This window comes from Homo sapiens, chromosome 5 (assembly GCF_000001405.40).
Source record: "Homo sapiens chromosome 5, GRCh38.p14 Primary Assembly".
Taxonomy (NCBI): domain Eukaryota; kingdom Metazoa; phylum Chordata; class Mammalia; order Primates; family Hominidae; genus Homo; species Homo sapiens.
The window spans coordinates 11,722,452-11,738,497 of NC_000005.10; the positions used below are offsets into that span (position 1 = coordinate 11,722,452).

Below are 16,046 nucleotides of genomic sequence, written 5' to 3' on the forward strand. Positions count from 1 at the left end.
AATAAAAGAACTACTCATATACAACACTGTATAAGTCCATTCTCATGCTGCTATGAAGAAATACCTGAGACTAGGTAATTTATAAACGAAAGAGGTTTAACTGACTCCCAGTTCCACAGGGCCTGGGAGGCCTCAGAAAACTTACAATCATGGTAGAAGGGGAAGCAAACATGTCCTTCTTCACATGGTGGTAGGAAGGAGAAGAATGACCAAAGGTGGGGGCGGAAAGCCCCTTATAAAACCATCAAATCTTGTGAGAACTCACTCACTATCACAACAACAGCAGGAGGGTAATTGCCCCCATGACTCAATTACCTCCTACCAGGTCCCTCCCATGACACATGGGGATTATGGGAACTACAATTTGAGATGACATTTCGGTGAGGACACAGCCAAACCATATCAAACACATATGACATGCCACCATTAAACATAAAAATAAATAGTAAACACAAAAAATTACTTCAAAATCTGTAATGATTAAAACATTTTAATATGACAACATCAAGAGTTTCATCAAGCACAAATATGTGAAAAATCTCCCAAACACAAAAAGCATACAAAATAAGCACTAAAACAAATAATTGGATTTTTCTGAGACTCTGGGGAACAGCATGCTTTCAAACAGCAGTTAAAAATCACTGAAGATTTTCAACAAATATGATAAACTTGGCATAATTGTATACAAACAAAAATAATTAAGTGTATTTTTATGTTTTTTATGTGTAAAGTTGCTGATTCATGTACTAATATGGTAGGTTTTTTTTCCTCTTAACTAAAACAAGGTACACAGTCTAGTTTCAAAAAAAAAGACAAAGACACATTTTATTAATGAAGGATATAGTTGAGTAAATAAGCCTCATATTAAACTGAAAATATCTCATTCCACCTGATTAAATGAGTTTTGATTGAGGTTGTTTATAGAAAAAATTGCAATTTGGGGGCCTAGGATTCATCAGTCAATGGGCACATTCTGAAGCGATATGCAGGCAGCCCAAATGGAAGATCTAGACCCAATACAACCATTAAAGTAAGGGAAAAAGCATATGATCAATGTAACACTGGAAATGAGACCCCTGCACCATAAAAGTGACTAAGGACTTTTACCACAATTAAGCAACGCATTTACTTTTGTGCTAAAATAAAATGGAAAAAGACAGTAAGTTCATTCCTAAGTCATACTCTCAATACAAATATACTAAACACCTCCTCCATGGCTGGCACTGCTCCAAGAGCTGGTGACCCAACAGTAAGGAGGGGAGACAAGGCCACATCCCCATCCAATAAGCTTAGGTGAGAGTTAGAAAAATATTACAGTTATTGGGCCGGGCGTGGTGGCTCATGTCTGTAATTCCAGCAGTTTGGGAGGCCGAGGTGGGCAGATTACAAGGTCAGGAGATCGAGACATTCCTGGCTAGCACAGTGAAACCCTGTCTCTACTAAAGATACAAAAAATTAGCCGGGCGTAGTGGCGGGCACCTGTAGTCCCAGCTGCTCGGGAGCTGTGGCAGAAGAATGGTGTGAACCCGGGAGGCGGACCTTGCAGCGAGCTGAGATCACACCACTGCACTCCAGCCTGGGCGACAGAGCAAGGCTTCATTTCAAAAAAAAAAAAAGTATTACAGTTATGCAGTTATTAATTATTACCAGTAGTAAGAGTAATATGTCTATTACTGAAACGGTTCATTTATATTAGATCAGTTGACTATAGTTAACTATTGAAAGGTTTTCAATGTCAGTAAACAAACCAGTAAAGCTCCTAGTATGGTAATTTCTTATCTTGGGTCTCCATAAAGACAGAGTCACCAAATCACTGCAGCATTATTCAAGCCGTGTTCTTGGGGGGCATTCCAGTGGAGGGATGAGGTGTTGTTTTCAATATGAGCAGAGCTCTCAAAAGTGAGAGGATTTACACTCTAGATGATTCATTTGAAGAATAAATTGCCTCTGGCTTTTGACAGGAGGTCTCTATTAGGCAATTTCAGGTCTCTGAACAGTATCTCAAGTGTGTGGTATTATTTAACAAAATAATTTAATAAAAGTGGCTGTTTTGTTAATAGGTGGGCTGGATTCCAAGCTTATCTATTTCGGTGGAGGGTTTCTCCTCTGTTGTGGAGGTGGTGGGCATGGGTGCTGGCCAACAGTGCTACAGTGGTATTTCAAAAGTTCTGAATCAAATAAAAGACTTAAACACCTTTGGTTGATATCCCAGAGTTCTACTTTTCAGAATAGAAGATACGGCAGTGTCAAAACTATATGTGGAATTGTTTGTGATTTCCTATAAAAACTATGGACTAGACTTTTATGTAATTTTAATTTTTAATTTGAGCATAATTTCTTTATCACTCCAAGATGTGTAACTTGCGAAAATGCATCCCCAAATGACTAAATCTATTGACTTGGGGAATGAAGCTATTTAGCAATGTCTCCCTAGATGTTGAAGATTACCTGTCAAAAGTGATTTTTTTTTTTGCCTTATTGATATTGAGTTGTTCTTTCTCACAGTAATTAGGCAAGTGGCCCAGCTGCTTCCTGAGGCTATGAGTAGAATATGAAAGTCAGAACTTGTCCTTAGTGAAAAAGGAGGATGCTAATCTTCACTTTTCCATGGGAGGCCACAGAGCCAGCTCATTTAGAGCCCAGGGCATGAACTTGCACGTGCGTTTTATGATTGCAGCCCAGTGACAGCAACTTGAACATGATCGATGGGCTGCCTCAGGCATGTTTACCTGTGTCACTGATGCATGCTAGAGATAACTCCAGTCCAGGCCACTGATGCCCAGCAACAGAAATTTTCAACTAAAGTAAGAATGTGTCTAACCCACAGTATTCCCTTCCTGTCACATTTTCTCTACAGATACAATTAACTAAAAAATAAGGTATAGTTGTTCCTTAAATTATTTGTATTTGGGTTATTAGTGATTCCTTTTAAAAATACATTGCGGATCAAATTAAATATATTGCAGATCAAATTAATGTATAAATTTCCCTATTCTCTTCTCCTCGTTAAATAAGAGACTGGCAGAGAATACTATCTAACTTGACCTTAGCAAAACCTTGGTCATAGAAAAATATTTTTCTTCAGAAAAATATCAGACAACACATTGTAGGCCTATTATTTTATCTAAATGATGAGGTTGTGTAGTGTAGTGGGGGGGAAAAGCACTGAATTTGAAGTAAAACATAAAGTCTCAGTTTCTTGATCATAAAACATATTGAGCAAAATAATCATTAGAGGAAAAATATATGATTTAATTATATATCTGAGGAAATGTTTCACATGTACATTTTATAGAAATACATGTTTTACAAAAATATGTAAATTAAAGGAATTTATTGTCTGTTCTTTTTAAAAAACGTTTTTGAGATACTATTGAACATTGTTTCCTTGCTCTAAAATAATTCCTGTGTTTTTCTTGACTATTCCTACTATATCTGGTTCCATTTCTCTGAAAAAATCAACATTTTTCCCATGAGCTTCCTCTAGAATATTCTATGGGTTAATTTCTTGCTTTGTGCAAACCATGCACAGCGCACTGACTATTTTACCCCAGGAGCCCCTGCTTTGTTGGCCTGCCAGTGGCCCTTTTCAGTAATTAATGATGACATATTTTCCAAGCGAATTTTTAAGAGTCTTGAATCTTTTTTTTTCAAACCTTTGCTCCAGGCAGTGTCTGTCAAAGCAGACCCAATGATTAATGTACAAGGAAGTGTGACATGTCACTTCTTTTCATACTGTGAAAATGGAATCAATCTAAGATCAACAAAGGTAAAAATGTGAAATACAATTATATTAAATAATTCACAGTGAATCTATATCACATACTCATTAGAAACATGTTTGAAATAATATTAAATGATATGAAAAAATACTCCTCATAGAAGGTTAAATGTACAAAGAAGAATAAAATATTTATAAAGCAAAATGAAAATTTTGTACAGATAATCTTATATTCATATAAAAAGTCTGGAAGGAAATCTCCCTAAATATTTGCAGCTACCTCTGTTTGTGGTGAATTTTCAAAATAAAAAAAACCCAATTCATTTATTTTTCCTATCTAATGTTTTAAACTTTTACACAACATGCATGAATTACGCCTTTATAGTGGAAAATTCATAAAAATTACTAAAACACCACATTTTACATATTCAGTATGATTTTACATATGAATATTTAACAATGAGTTGTAGTAATAAATATGACAGAAGCGTTAGAAGCACTATATTGTCATGTTACAAAACCCCACATACTAAAGGCTTATTTTCTAATCTAGCATATAACACCCTAGTCTCTTTTTTTCCCTTGATAGCTCCAGTGCTCTGTAAACCCAACAACTAACACTATTAAATAGAACAGAGCATAAAACAATCAAATGAGTTAATTCTTGGAATGGAGTTTGAAATTATCAAAAGGACAGATAGGTATATAAGTGTCCTGAGAAGAGTTATAAACTGAAACTAAGGAAAATATTAAGTTTCAGGGGGAAAAGTCAAAATAACTTAGAGTAACTAACAGAATACACATAAGAGAGCATCAGGAAGCAGGGGTGGAGAGACAGAGATGATCTATCCAGAGTTCTAGAATTATTCACCCATAACTGGAACTCCCAGCACACATTCCCAAGACTTGAATAAGTAGTTTATGATTTGTTTCTCCTTGATTTATAGTTTTATTTATCATTTTTCTGATGCACAGGGTTAACAAGTAAACAAATACACTTCAAATGCAGGTGGTCCCATCAATCTCATGCTACCTGAGCATCCCTTTCCTTCATACATGAACTTCATAACTTTACATACACACTCATTTTCTTTCTTTACCCTCCTGGAACTCTAAACACCCCATCTGGTCAATCTATCTACAATCCTTCCATCCTGTACGTATGAAACTCACAAGGCTTTCTGATCCTTGCTCCCCCTTCCTTGTTATAAACCATATCATGTGTCATGACCCAGTTCCACGGACTCCTAGCTTGCACCTTTATCTCTCAATTCACAGCTTCAAACAGATGATCACTATTCCTAATACAGCTGAGTTTCTGCAACAAAAGTTAAAGGAAATGCATGCTTTTTTTTTCATTTCTAATCCACCCTGGCTTGAAACAAGAAATAAAAATTCAGCAATCACGTAATTCTCACTTAAATTTTGATATGTGGAGAAAGTTCAACTGGTAGCACTATGCTATGGATAATTCTTCCCTTCTCTGACTAAACGAATATAAACTTCACTGGTCTTTGCAGATAATCCTCTATCTTCTTGACCTTTCCTAAGGTGTTATAACTTCTGCTTTTTCTTGGATGATAATTTTGTCATTAATTTCATAAAATGCTTTCCCAAAATACCATCCGAAATTTGATTAATAGTTATAGGTCATTTCCCTAACAACACATTGTGTTATCAGAAATTATTGTTGCACATTATAGTAACACCAATAATGCTGAAAGATTTAGCAACGATATGTGGCACTGGAAGAAAACTAATTAAGGGAGTATTTTATAATGAACTTCTTCCAAATAGTATTCTTGTTATATATAGAGTTAAGTTACTTTTGAAATTCTAAATGTAGAAGCTGAATAAAAAGGAAGGCATGCTATCCTCACAAGAGATGATGTAAAAGATCTAGTTTCTTTAGATTTTAAATGAATCTTTTTAAATTCTTCCTTGTGGCTTCATATGACACAACATATATAAAGTACTCAGTGTCGTGGTTTGCCCCATAGTGAAAGCCCAGAAATGTCAGCTGGGCACGGTGGCTCACGCCTGTAATCCCAGCACTTTGGGAGGCCGAGGCTGGTGGGTCATGAGGTCAGGAGTTTGAGACCAGCTCGACCAACATGGTGAAACCTGTCTCTACTGAAAAAAAAAAAATAGCCAGGCGTGGTGGCGCATGCCTGTAATCCCAGCTATTCAGGAGGCTGGGGCAGGAGAATCACTTGAACCTGGGAGGTGGAGGTGGAAGAGGTTATGGTGAGCCAAGATCGCACCACCGCACTCTAGCCTGGGCGACAGAGCGACACTCCATCTCAAAAACAAAACAAAACAAACCCACAGAAATGTCTTACTCTTACTTTCCTATATTTTGTACAATAAGAAAAACTAAAAGGAAGAGAATGTCTGTTTTGCTACCTTTGAATCACCAATATCCTAAATAATGGTACTCAAAAAATCCTCTAAAATCAAGAATACGGTTTATAATGATTGTGAAACTAAAAGAACAATGAAAATTAGTGTAACAATAGAGTATCTGGAGTTACAAATGCTCTCAATTTCAAGTTTATTTTTAGTCTGTAAAAATCATCTGGGGTTTGATAATATATTGACTAAAGAGTTTCCTGAAATTTTCATCTATATTTTTTTCTATTTTAAAACTCTTTACATATGGTTGTCTTATATTTTTAACTCCACTGCTAACTACTTGAAGGCCAATTCAGATAAAAATTTTAAGAAACAACTTAGCTTTCACTCTACAGATAATATTCTAGACTTGAGGAAAAAAATAAGGAACCTTTAAGAATGATTTAGGATACAAATCCCCTAATGAAGGATAAGATTGGTTGTTTGCATCAGGACATCCCCAAAAAGCTCATGGAATCTGCTGCTTTTTGATTTATGCTTTCACCTAGGCAGATGCTGCACGTGGGACCTAATTCCCAGCTTCTGACTTGGGCACCTGGGGCTTCTCTATCTCAAGTTTCCAGAACACATTTGCATCCCTCCCCAAATTACTTATGTGCCACCAAAAAAAAAAAAAGTCATCTTTGCTGCCCCAAAATGAATAATACATTTTTTAATTCCTCAGAAAAAAAACTTTTCACAGTGATATAGTTTGGCTGTGTCCCCACCCAAATCCCCTATGTCTTCAGTCTGTTTCCACCTCCATCTAACTGTAAAACACAAATGCTAATCAATATTAATAGTTTGATTTGTTTCCTTCTATACTTTTCTAGATGCTCATAAATATGTATAAACCAAAAACATATCTAATGTTCTGAGTTTTTAAAAACAGGATAATACCATACTATGTAATTTCCTTTCTAAAATTCTCATGGATTTTTTCCCCAAAGATTAAACATATAGCCCCAACTCATTTTTACTAATGACTGCATAATATTTATAGAAAGAATATAACATTTTCAACTCTTCACCAAGCCATCCGTATTTTTGGCTATTTCAAATAATTTTATAATAAATTTCGACACACATAAAATCTTACCTATTTAGTCACTAATTTCTACAGAATATATATCTAAATGACTAAATCAATGGTTATTGAACATTTTAAATGTCAATGCATAGAAACAAATCATTTTACCAAAAAATTATAGCAATTTATATTCCCATTTGGAGTGAAAAAGAATGTGGATTCCTCCAAGCCTTAACTCTTACCTAGCATACAATATAAACTACTTTTCAACAGCTGTCTACCTGGTAGATTAAAAATTAGTTTTATTTTCACTTAAAATTGTATGTCCCCAATGGGTGCATTAGAGTGGACATTTCTAAACATTCATTACTTGCTTGCATCTTTCTTCTGTTTATATCTTTTGCCTAGTTTTGTATTCGTTTATTTCTCTTTTTCTCACCAACATTAGGAAGTCTTCATATATTAATTTTATCAACATGTTATTATACTTGTGGCACATATTTTCTCTTGGACTATTTTTCTTTGCTATTTTGAGTTGTGTCTTGCTATTACTAGTAGTATTCATATTGTGAAACTCATCGACCACTTATGTATGGCTTCTGGACTTCCTCTCTTGTTTAAAACTTTGCTTACCTTTAGTTTACAAAGCTCCTTCCCCAGAGTTTCTTCTAATATGTTGATGGTTTTATTTTTACAGTTACCATTTTTTTCCCTGTGAGATTTATTTCTCTTTATGCTGTAAGTTAACAGTTCTAATTTTCTTCCAGATGTCGAGTCAGTTATGACAACACCACGTAAGCCTCTTCTTTGTAATGAATTGAAACACGAACTTTAAGTGAATAGGCATATATGTATATTTGAATCTGTTTTGAACCCTCAGTTATGTTTTACACAGAGACCATTCTTTTTTGGGCCCATTGGGTACTACTGTGATTGGTAAGATTGGTAAGATAAAATCTCTCAAAACTTTCCTTGCATTCTCATATATTTATACTTCCACCGGTCTTTAAAATAGTTTGATCCAGTTTGCCAAAGAAACAAACAACCAGCCACAGGCTTCTGATTACAGCTGCCTAAATTTTATATCCTAATTTGGGAGACAGTAGTATTGTGATGATACTAAGCTTTTCAACAGAGGAGCATGCCATGCCTTTTTATTCATTCTGAATTACTTTATGTCCTTGTGATAAAACAATTTTCAGCAGACAGGTCTTGCCTTTTTGTTACATTTGTTCTTTCTGCTTTAAATTTTCTTACTACTCAGAAGTTAGTAGCCTAGCAAGACTTCCAGATCACACATGAATAAGAAAGCACGACATAACCCAACCATAACAAGGTAGTGTATTGAGGATGGGGAGTGGTATTAACCCCCTTGGTGGTCCCTTTTTCCATTTCCCCTAAAACATAATCAGAAAACTCTCAAGAGTGAGCTTTGGAAAGCAAACTAATCAAGGAGCACAGCCTAAAGCTCAACCCAATTTCCTGCTTACTGACTATTTTCACAAACTAGAGTATCCACTCAATCTATTCAACTCTCCCTTGAGTACCTACTTAGCTGAACACTTCCTGACCAGATGGCACACTTTTGACTGATAGCATCATTGATCCCTTCGGTCAGTGGGTTGACTGTTTAGGTGGTTTCCCACTCTTACCTAAATCAGTTTCCACTCATGAAACAGAATCAGTTTCCTCTAGAGCCCTTCTTCTTTTTGAATAGCGTTACTATTCTTAATTGCTCCCATTTTAGGCTCTCGCTCTGCTGAGATGTTCCTGGAGTCAGGTAAGTTGCCAATTCAGCATCACCAAATCACATAACCCAAACGCGGCAGGCTTTTTTACTTAAAATTTTAAAAACCGTTATACTTTCTAGCACATGTTTAGAAGAAGCAGTAACTAAAAGAATCTTGATCGTCCAGCTCTCTTTATTTACTACTTTTTTATTTACAAGAAACATGACTTTTATAAAGTGACGTTTTAAATCTAAGGTTCAGATTTTATTTACTTATGCATTTTTTGGCAAAGTAACATTGGAGGAAGAATCGTTCAGACTTTCATTAGTTCGAGAAGGAAATTTTAGACTACATCCTTCCAGATCCATCTCAGAAAACACTGGAAAAACCAATTTGCCTTGACTTTGATGTGATATTCATTTACTGTCATATATATTTTTAACCTCCCGGATATATTTTAATTTTTCATTAGATTTTATCTTTTCTAAGACTAATTATTTCACTTTGTATGTTTAATAGTATTAAATGTCAGGTCCATCAATTAATCTGCCAAAACTTCACCCATAGGAAATTTTGATTATAAAGTTGTTTTTCTTCCCCTATAAAATATCTTTTCAAGGAAGGCTGCCCAAAACATGGAGTCAAAAGGAATTATAACCATATTACAATATTATTTATATAATAAATACCAACACTCTGCTACATGAGTATGAGTTTCTTTTAACATAATTTAATCTTTAACGTTCATCTAGAAAAACAATTTTTAAAATGTCCCCAAACGCATATCACAAAAATGGGAATGTTTCTACCTGTTCTTTGACTGAGGCGAGGATGGCAGAGGTGGTTTCTGTTTCAGAGCCATCCCCGTTGGAGGTGTTTAAGCCGGGGCTCAGGGAACTCGTCTTCTCTGAGGCTGATGAAGGCTGGTCTGGAACAGGCATAGCTCCTGCAAGGCAAGAGGACATGATCAATACAATCAGATGTTGACACTAAACAGGTACAACTATCAGACCACTTTGAAGATACACACAGAAAAAAAAGTAAAACTATAAGCTGCTGAGAAAGACCAAGACATAATTATAGAACGGGAGTAATACAGTAAAGTAAAGTAACAGTACAAGTAAACAGAATGTTTTATTCTTTTATCAACTCCAACCAAATTCCAGAACACACTCACACTTTCTGTTTTGTCTTTGAGGTAAATGGGGAAAGAAATCATCAGAAGGAAAAAGAAGGAGAGACTATAAGAATAAAGTAATAAAGAAGTATTGAGTCTAAGAAGCTAGTCCAACTATAAATTTATGACTATTTTAGGTAAATTTATTACCTGCCTATTGGTATATGTGCTGTTATTACATGTTTCCTCCTTGGTTCCTGGCTCATATCTCCCATAACCCCCGTTATAGTCTTGTGATGGTACTGGGTGTGTCAGGTCTCAGGAGCAGGCCTCAGAAAGCAATCTCTCTGACCTTCCCCTGCCCTCCTTTTACCTGCTCTAAGGCAGGACTCTAATCCTCCCTGCCTCCTTTCTGATTGTGGGTCATAAGATCCTCATTCCACAGAGGGTCCTGCCCCCTACGTCCTGGGGAAAAAAATGCTGATGTCAAGAAGCCTCCATAAAACCCCAGAGGACTGGGTTCGTAGAGCTTCTGGAGAGCTAACCACCTGGAGGTTCCTGGAAAGTGGCACATCGGGAGGGCTTGGAAGCTCTGCACCTCTTCCCCCATAACTCGCCCTATGCATATCTTCATCTGTATCCCTTGTGATATCCTCTGAAATAAACGTGTATACATATGTGTTTCCCTGAGTTCTCTGAGCTGCTCTGGCAAATTAATAGAATCCAACCCAGGGACTGTGGGAACCCCAGCTGAAGCCTGTTGGTCAGAAGTTCTGAGGCCTGGACTTGCAATTGGTATCTGGGGGGATGAGACAGTTTTGGGGACTGAACCCTCAACATGTGGGCTCTGACACTCTCTGAGAGTGGATAGTGTAGTAGATAGTGTCGGACTGATAGAGTAGATAGTGTCAGAACTGAATTAGAGGACACCCAACTGTGTCTGTTGCTTGGCGTGTATGGGAAAAAACCCACACATTTGGTCACAGAAGTCTTCTGTGTTTGTTGTTGTTGTGTGAGAGTAGAAGAAAAATAGAGTTTGAGAGGGTTTTTCCCAAAACAGAATATTTTCAACTCAAAAGAAAATCTATCAGACATTCCCCTTTGCAAGAAAATCATACAGAAGCCATGATTAATAATTTACCAATAATTAAAGAGATACCTGAATTAACATAAGAAGCTTAGTTAGTATTGTGAAATACAGTCAATAACTAATCTACTCCACAAATATTTACCAAGTTCCTAGTCCATGACAGACAGCAGACAAAAACTGGCAAGGCCATTTGCCATAGTTGATTTTGTCTGAGTTTATTTGTGAAAGAAAGCAGAAACTCAAATAACATTAGACCCAATGCATAAGTGGATGCATATGTACAGGTTAAAAACAAGATTCTCAGAATTGTTCCCATCTTTCCCGCACAAACAAATGAGATTGCTGTGGTCTGAATGTTGATGTCTCCCAAATTCATACGCTGAAATATTAATACCCAAGGTGATGGTACTAGGAGGAGGGGCCTTTGAGAGGAGATGAAGTCAAGAGGGTGGAGCCCTCATAAATAGGATGAGTCCTTATAAAAGAGGCCTGAGAGAGACTTCTCTACCCTCCCACGATGTGAGGGCACAGCAATAAGGCATCATCTATAAACCAGAAAGTCGGCCCTCCCCAGACACTAAATCTGCCAGGACTTAATCTTTTGCTTCCCAGCTCCAGAACTTCAAGTTAATTTCCATTGCTTATAAGGAGCCAATTTATGGTGTTTGGTTACTCTGGTCCCCAAGAGAGCAGCCATGACCTTGTATCGCCACCTCTCTCCATGTCCAATGGTTCACAAGGGACTTTATGCAAGGTGATATGGTTTGACTATGTTCCCCAACAAATCTCATCTTGAATTGTAGCTCCCAAAATCCCCACATGTAGTGAGAGGGACCAGGTGGGAGGTAATTAAATCATAGGGGCAGGTTTTGCCCATGCTGTTCTCATGACAGTGAATAAGTCTCAAGAGATCTGTAGCTCAAATGAACTTAAAAAGGGACTGAAGTATTTGTTACATGTATCATCTAGCAGTGATCAACAGAGAAAGCAATAGTTAACTGAGGATATTTACCAAGGCATTACAAAACCCCCATCTCAATAAAAGACTGAGAGTAAACAGAAATTATTTTCTTGCCTAAAGCTATTACATTACACATCCCTCCAGGAACCAGGGTTGTGTAAATATTAAAAGATATTTTCTATTATACCATATCTAAGCATCCTGGGTTTTACATTAAGAGATGTGATTTCCACAGTAGCCTTTGCCCTAAGTTATTACGTATGTCTAGTTAATAATTTAGAGATATTCCAACCTAAAAAGGCCCCATTACAGAATTTTACTTAAAATATATGTTAAGGAAAGCAGTCATCCAAATTTCCTATTGAACATTTCATCTAATTTTTTATTTGTTTTAATTTTATGAAGTACTTATAATAATATCACCAATGGGGATTGGAATAGCACTGAAAAAGTAAATCTGTTACAAACAGAATATGTGAGAAGGAATAATAATATCACCAATGGGGATTGGAATAGCACTGGAAAAGGAAATCTGTTATGAACAGAATATGTGAGAAGGTTTGGGGAAATAATATCAACAAAACAAAATTTGAGCAAAGAGTTAGAATCAGATTAAATATGATTTGGCAAAATGCAACCACAGCTAAAAAGATTAAAGTATTGAAGGTGATGAATACCAACAGGATGACAGAAAGAGATTTGCGTAATTATGGTGGTGTGTTAGGAAGAACATAATAAAGCATATTTATGTATTCAACATGCTTTCTCATATGGTTTTCTTATTCGATCAAGTCTCTTAATTATGTAAAATGTAAACAACCAGTTCAGCAAATGTTGTGCCCAGATAAAGAGTGGAACCTATGAATTTCCAGCTAGGGAAGGTTTCAGAGATGGTGAAAGAGCAGAAAGTAAGAAGGAAGGACAATGCAGCTCTTGTGTGCACAGTCACCTCTGGTCCCTGAGAAAGCCGCCGTGACCTTCTATTGCCACCTCTCTCCATGTCCATGGGTTCACAGGGGACTCTATGCAAGGTGATATGGTTTGGCTATGTCCCCCGACAAATCTCATCTTGAATGGTAGCTTCCATAATCCCCACGTGTAGTGAGAGGGACCAGGTGGGAGGTAATTAAATCACGGAGGCAGGTTTTGCCCATGCTGTTCTCATGATAGTGAATAAGTCTAATGAGATCTGATGGTTTTAGGAAGGGCAGTTCCCCTGCACGTGCTCTCTTGCCTGCCACCATGCAAGACATGCCTTTGCTTCTCCTTCACCTTCTGCCATGATTGTGAGGCCTCCCCAGCCATGCAGAACTGTGAGTCCATGAAAACTCTTTTTCTCTATAAATTACTCAGTCTTAGGTATGTCTTTATTAGCAGCATGAGAATGGACTAATACACAAGGAGCACCTCATGCTGAGAAAGGGGGACTCTTACATATTTTAAATTACCATTTTAATTTTTGTTTATTTACATTTTATTGGGCCCATGCTAATTCAGGCTCTGAGCCAGTATTCTTATCAACATATTTTTGACAAAGAAATTGTTTAAGGGCCCAAAGTTATTAAGTCACATAAGTGGGCCCAGAACTCAGGCTTTCTGCCTTTTAATTCCTATTTCAATGTCCTTTGATGTGTCAGCCTATTTCCTATAACCTGTACTGCCTCCTAATGCTACTCTACTAACTAATTTTTATAAAATGTAACTCTTTAAAAGCATAACAGTGACCTGTCATAAAAAAATATGGGATTTAATAGGCACTGAATCAAGGTTTCTCCTCCGGCACTTGACAAGTGTGACCCACACAGTATGGGGAATAATTAGGCCTGTTTATCTACCTCCTTTCTCCTTACAGCAATAACAGAAAGAGAAGTGGAATCTTCAAGGCTTATTCCACCGTACAGAGCTACCGCTACCTAAAGCAACCTCCATTCCTGAATGCAAATGACTTGGAATAATTTCCATGATTCATAATTTTTTTAATCCAAATTTAATGTAACTATTGTGTCTGGACAGAAAAGACAGTCACCCTCCAATCACAATCTTCTCAGCTCAGGTCACACAGAAGAGAGAGAGGAAACCACAAAAGACCTGCCCCAGTGAATCCCTGGATGGCCTTAGGGTAAGTATAAAAAGTGTTAAACTTCTAACTTCGCAGTAATATGGCCAAATACGTCAGTCTTAATCACAGCTAATCTACTAAAAATTAGTATTTAATCTGTGCAACCAGGAAATCTGGGAAGTATAGAGAAATAAAAAGCAAAAACCAAGAACAAAGGAAGAGCAACCACCAGCAATTCTGCCATTCCAGATAAGTAAAATTACTTTGGGATTTTGGTGATTTATTATTTCTAATATAACTTATTCTGTACAATGTTTTTTACATAATAAGGTACTAATGCAAGGTTTTTGAATTTCTTGTGGCTCAGCAACATCTCATGAACAATTTCTTATATCAACAAACATTGCTCTACAGTTTAATTACAATGAATACTCAGTATTCAATAATCTGTACATGTTGAAAGTTATCTACCTGTCTTTTATATGTGATTTTTACCCCATTTTTACATCTATGACATATTCAATACATGGGTTCCCAGCAGTAGAATTGGTAAAATAAGGAATCTGTGTATTTTTCGGCCTTTTGTTAGCCAGTCCTGCTGCCAGGCTGGTCCAGCCTACTCGCCCACTGGAAAGGTCATGAGAATGTTACCTCACCACAATGTTAACCACACGGATCTCCATTATCCTCTCAGGCTTTTGCCAACCTGATATAGAAAAATGCACCCCTTTGACTTTGTTTTTGTTTGACTGTGAGTAGAGTGCACAATTTACCCAGATTTATTCACCCTGTACAGCACTTCTTGCTACCCTTGAAGTGGTTACCATGTAAGAAGTCTTCCTACACATAGTAGAATTATAATCTGCAAATACCCAAGCTGCATTTTGGACAGACCCATCTTCCACATGAGAAAAAGAGACAGCAGTGCGGGAAGAACAGCCCTAAATTTCGGGTGGGTTCTTCTAGCAGAACTTGGTACCAACAAGTCCTATGTCCAGAAAATAATAAAACAACACCACTAGCAGTTTCAGGGTGCAAGTCACCCTGCTCTATGCCCACACATGCATGAGCAGTGTTACGGACAGAACTGTGTTCCCCAAATTCATATGCTGAAGCCTTAATCCCTATGTGACTGTATTGGAGATGGAGCCTTTAGGGAGGTGATTAAGGTTAAATGGGGTCACAGAGTGGTGGGGCCCTAATATAACAGGACTTCATGTGCTTATACGAAGAGCAAGTGGCATCAGAGGTCTCTCTTCCCCTTTGCATACACAAAGACAGAAAGCCATAAGTAGGCACAATGAGAAAGTACTGTTGACCAGCGGGGAAGAGAGGTGGCCTACTGGCACCTTGATCTTGGACTTCTGGTCTCCAGAAATATGAGAAAATAAATTTCTGTTATTTAAACCATTCAGTCTGTAGTATTGTGCTATGGCGGCACAAGCTGACCAATACAAAAAGTGTTCAATTTTCTCAACTTTCTTTCCCTTAATTCCCCTGTGGGCTGGGCATGGAGTCTTGGGAACTGACAGGAGAAAGGTAAAACATCTCTTGGTAACACCTTCATCTAAAACGAATCACAGGTCTCAGGAGGAGGCATGTGTCCCAACATTGCTTCAAATCAGCATACCGGGACAAAGCAAAGCTTACAAAGGGATGTACCCCATTGTATGAAATAAGCCTACAGAATAAAACAGTATCTTAAACACATCCATAATACTACCACTTTCATAAATGATGCAATAAGAAATTCAGAAAAATTGGCCTGCATAACAATAACAGCAAAAGCAGTTAGGCCCTGCATGCCGAGCCTTCTTTTCAGTTTGAACTCTTATAACCATAGGTAATAAGATGTTATGATGTCCAAATGAATAGTCTAAACTTTTCTTTCCCAAATAGGAGTCTCTATAAATTTACATTACACTTGGCAACATGCTAGAATCT

The 16,046-nt window shown here is 37.1% G+C and overlaps 1 protein-coding gene across 6 annotated transcripts in view; it reads right to left on the reverse strand.

Moving 5' to 3' along the window:
• CTNND2 (catenin delta 2) overlaps positions 1–16,046 on the reverse strand; it is a 932,611-nt gene that overhangs the window by 750,616 nt on the left and 165,949 nt on the right. For all 6 annotated transcript variants that reach the window (NR_109988.2, XM_017009074.2, XM_017009072.2 and 3 more), the window contains exon 2: positions 9,685–9,821. Coding sequence is in view for 4 of the 6 variants with exons in the window: in XM_017009074.2 (XP_016864563.1) it covers positions 9,685–9,821 (137 nt within the window). In the remaining 2 variants the exon portion in view is untranslated. The remainder of the gene's footprint in view (positions 1–9,684; positions 9,822–16,046) is intronic.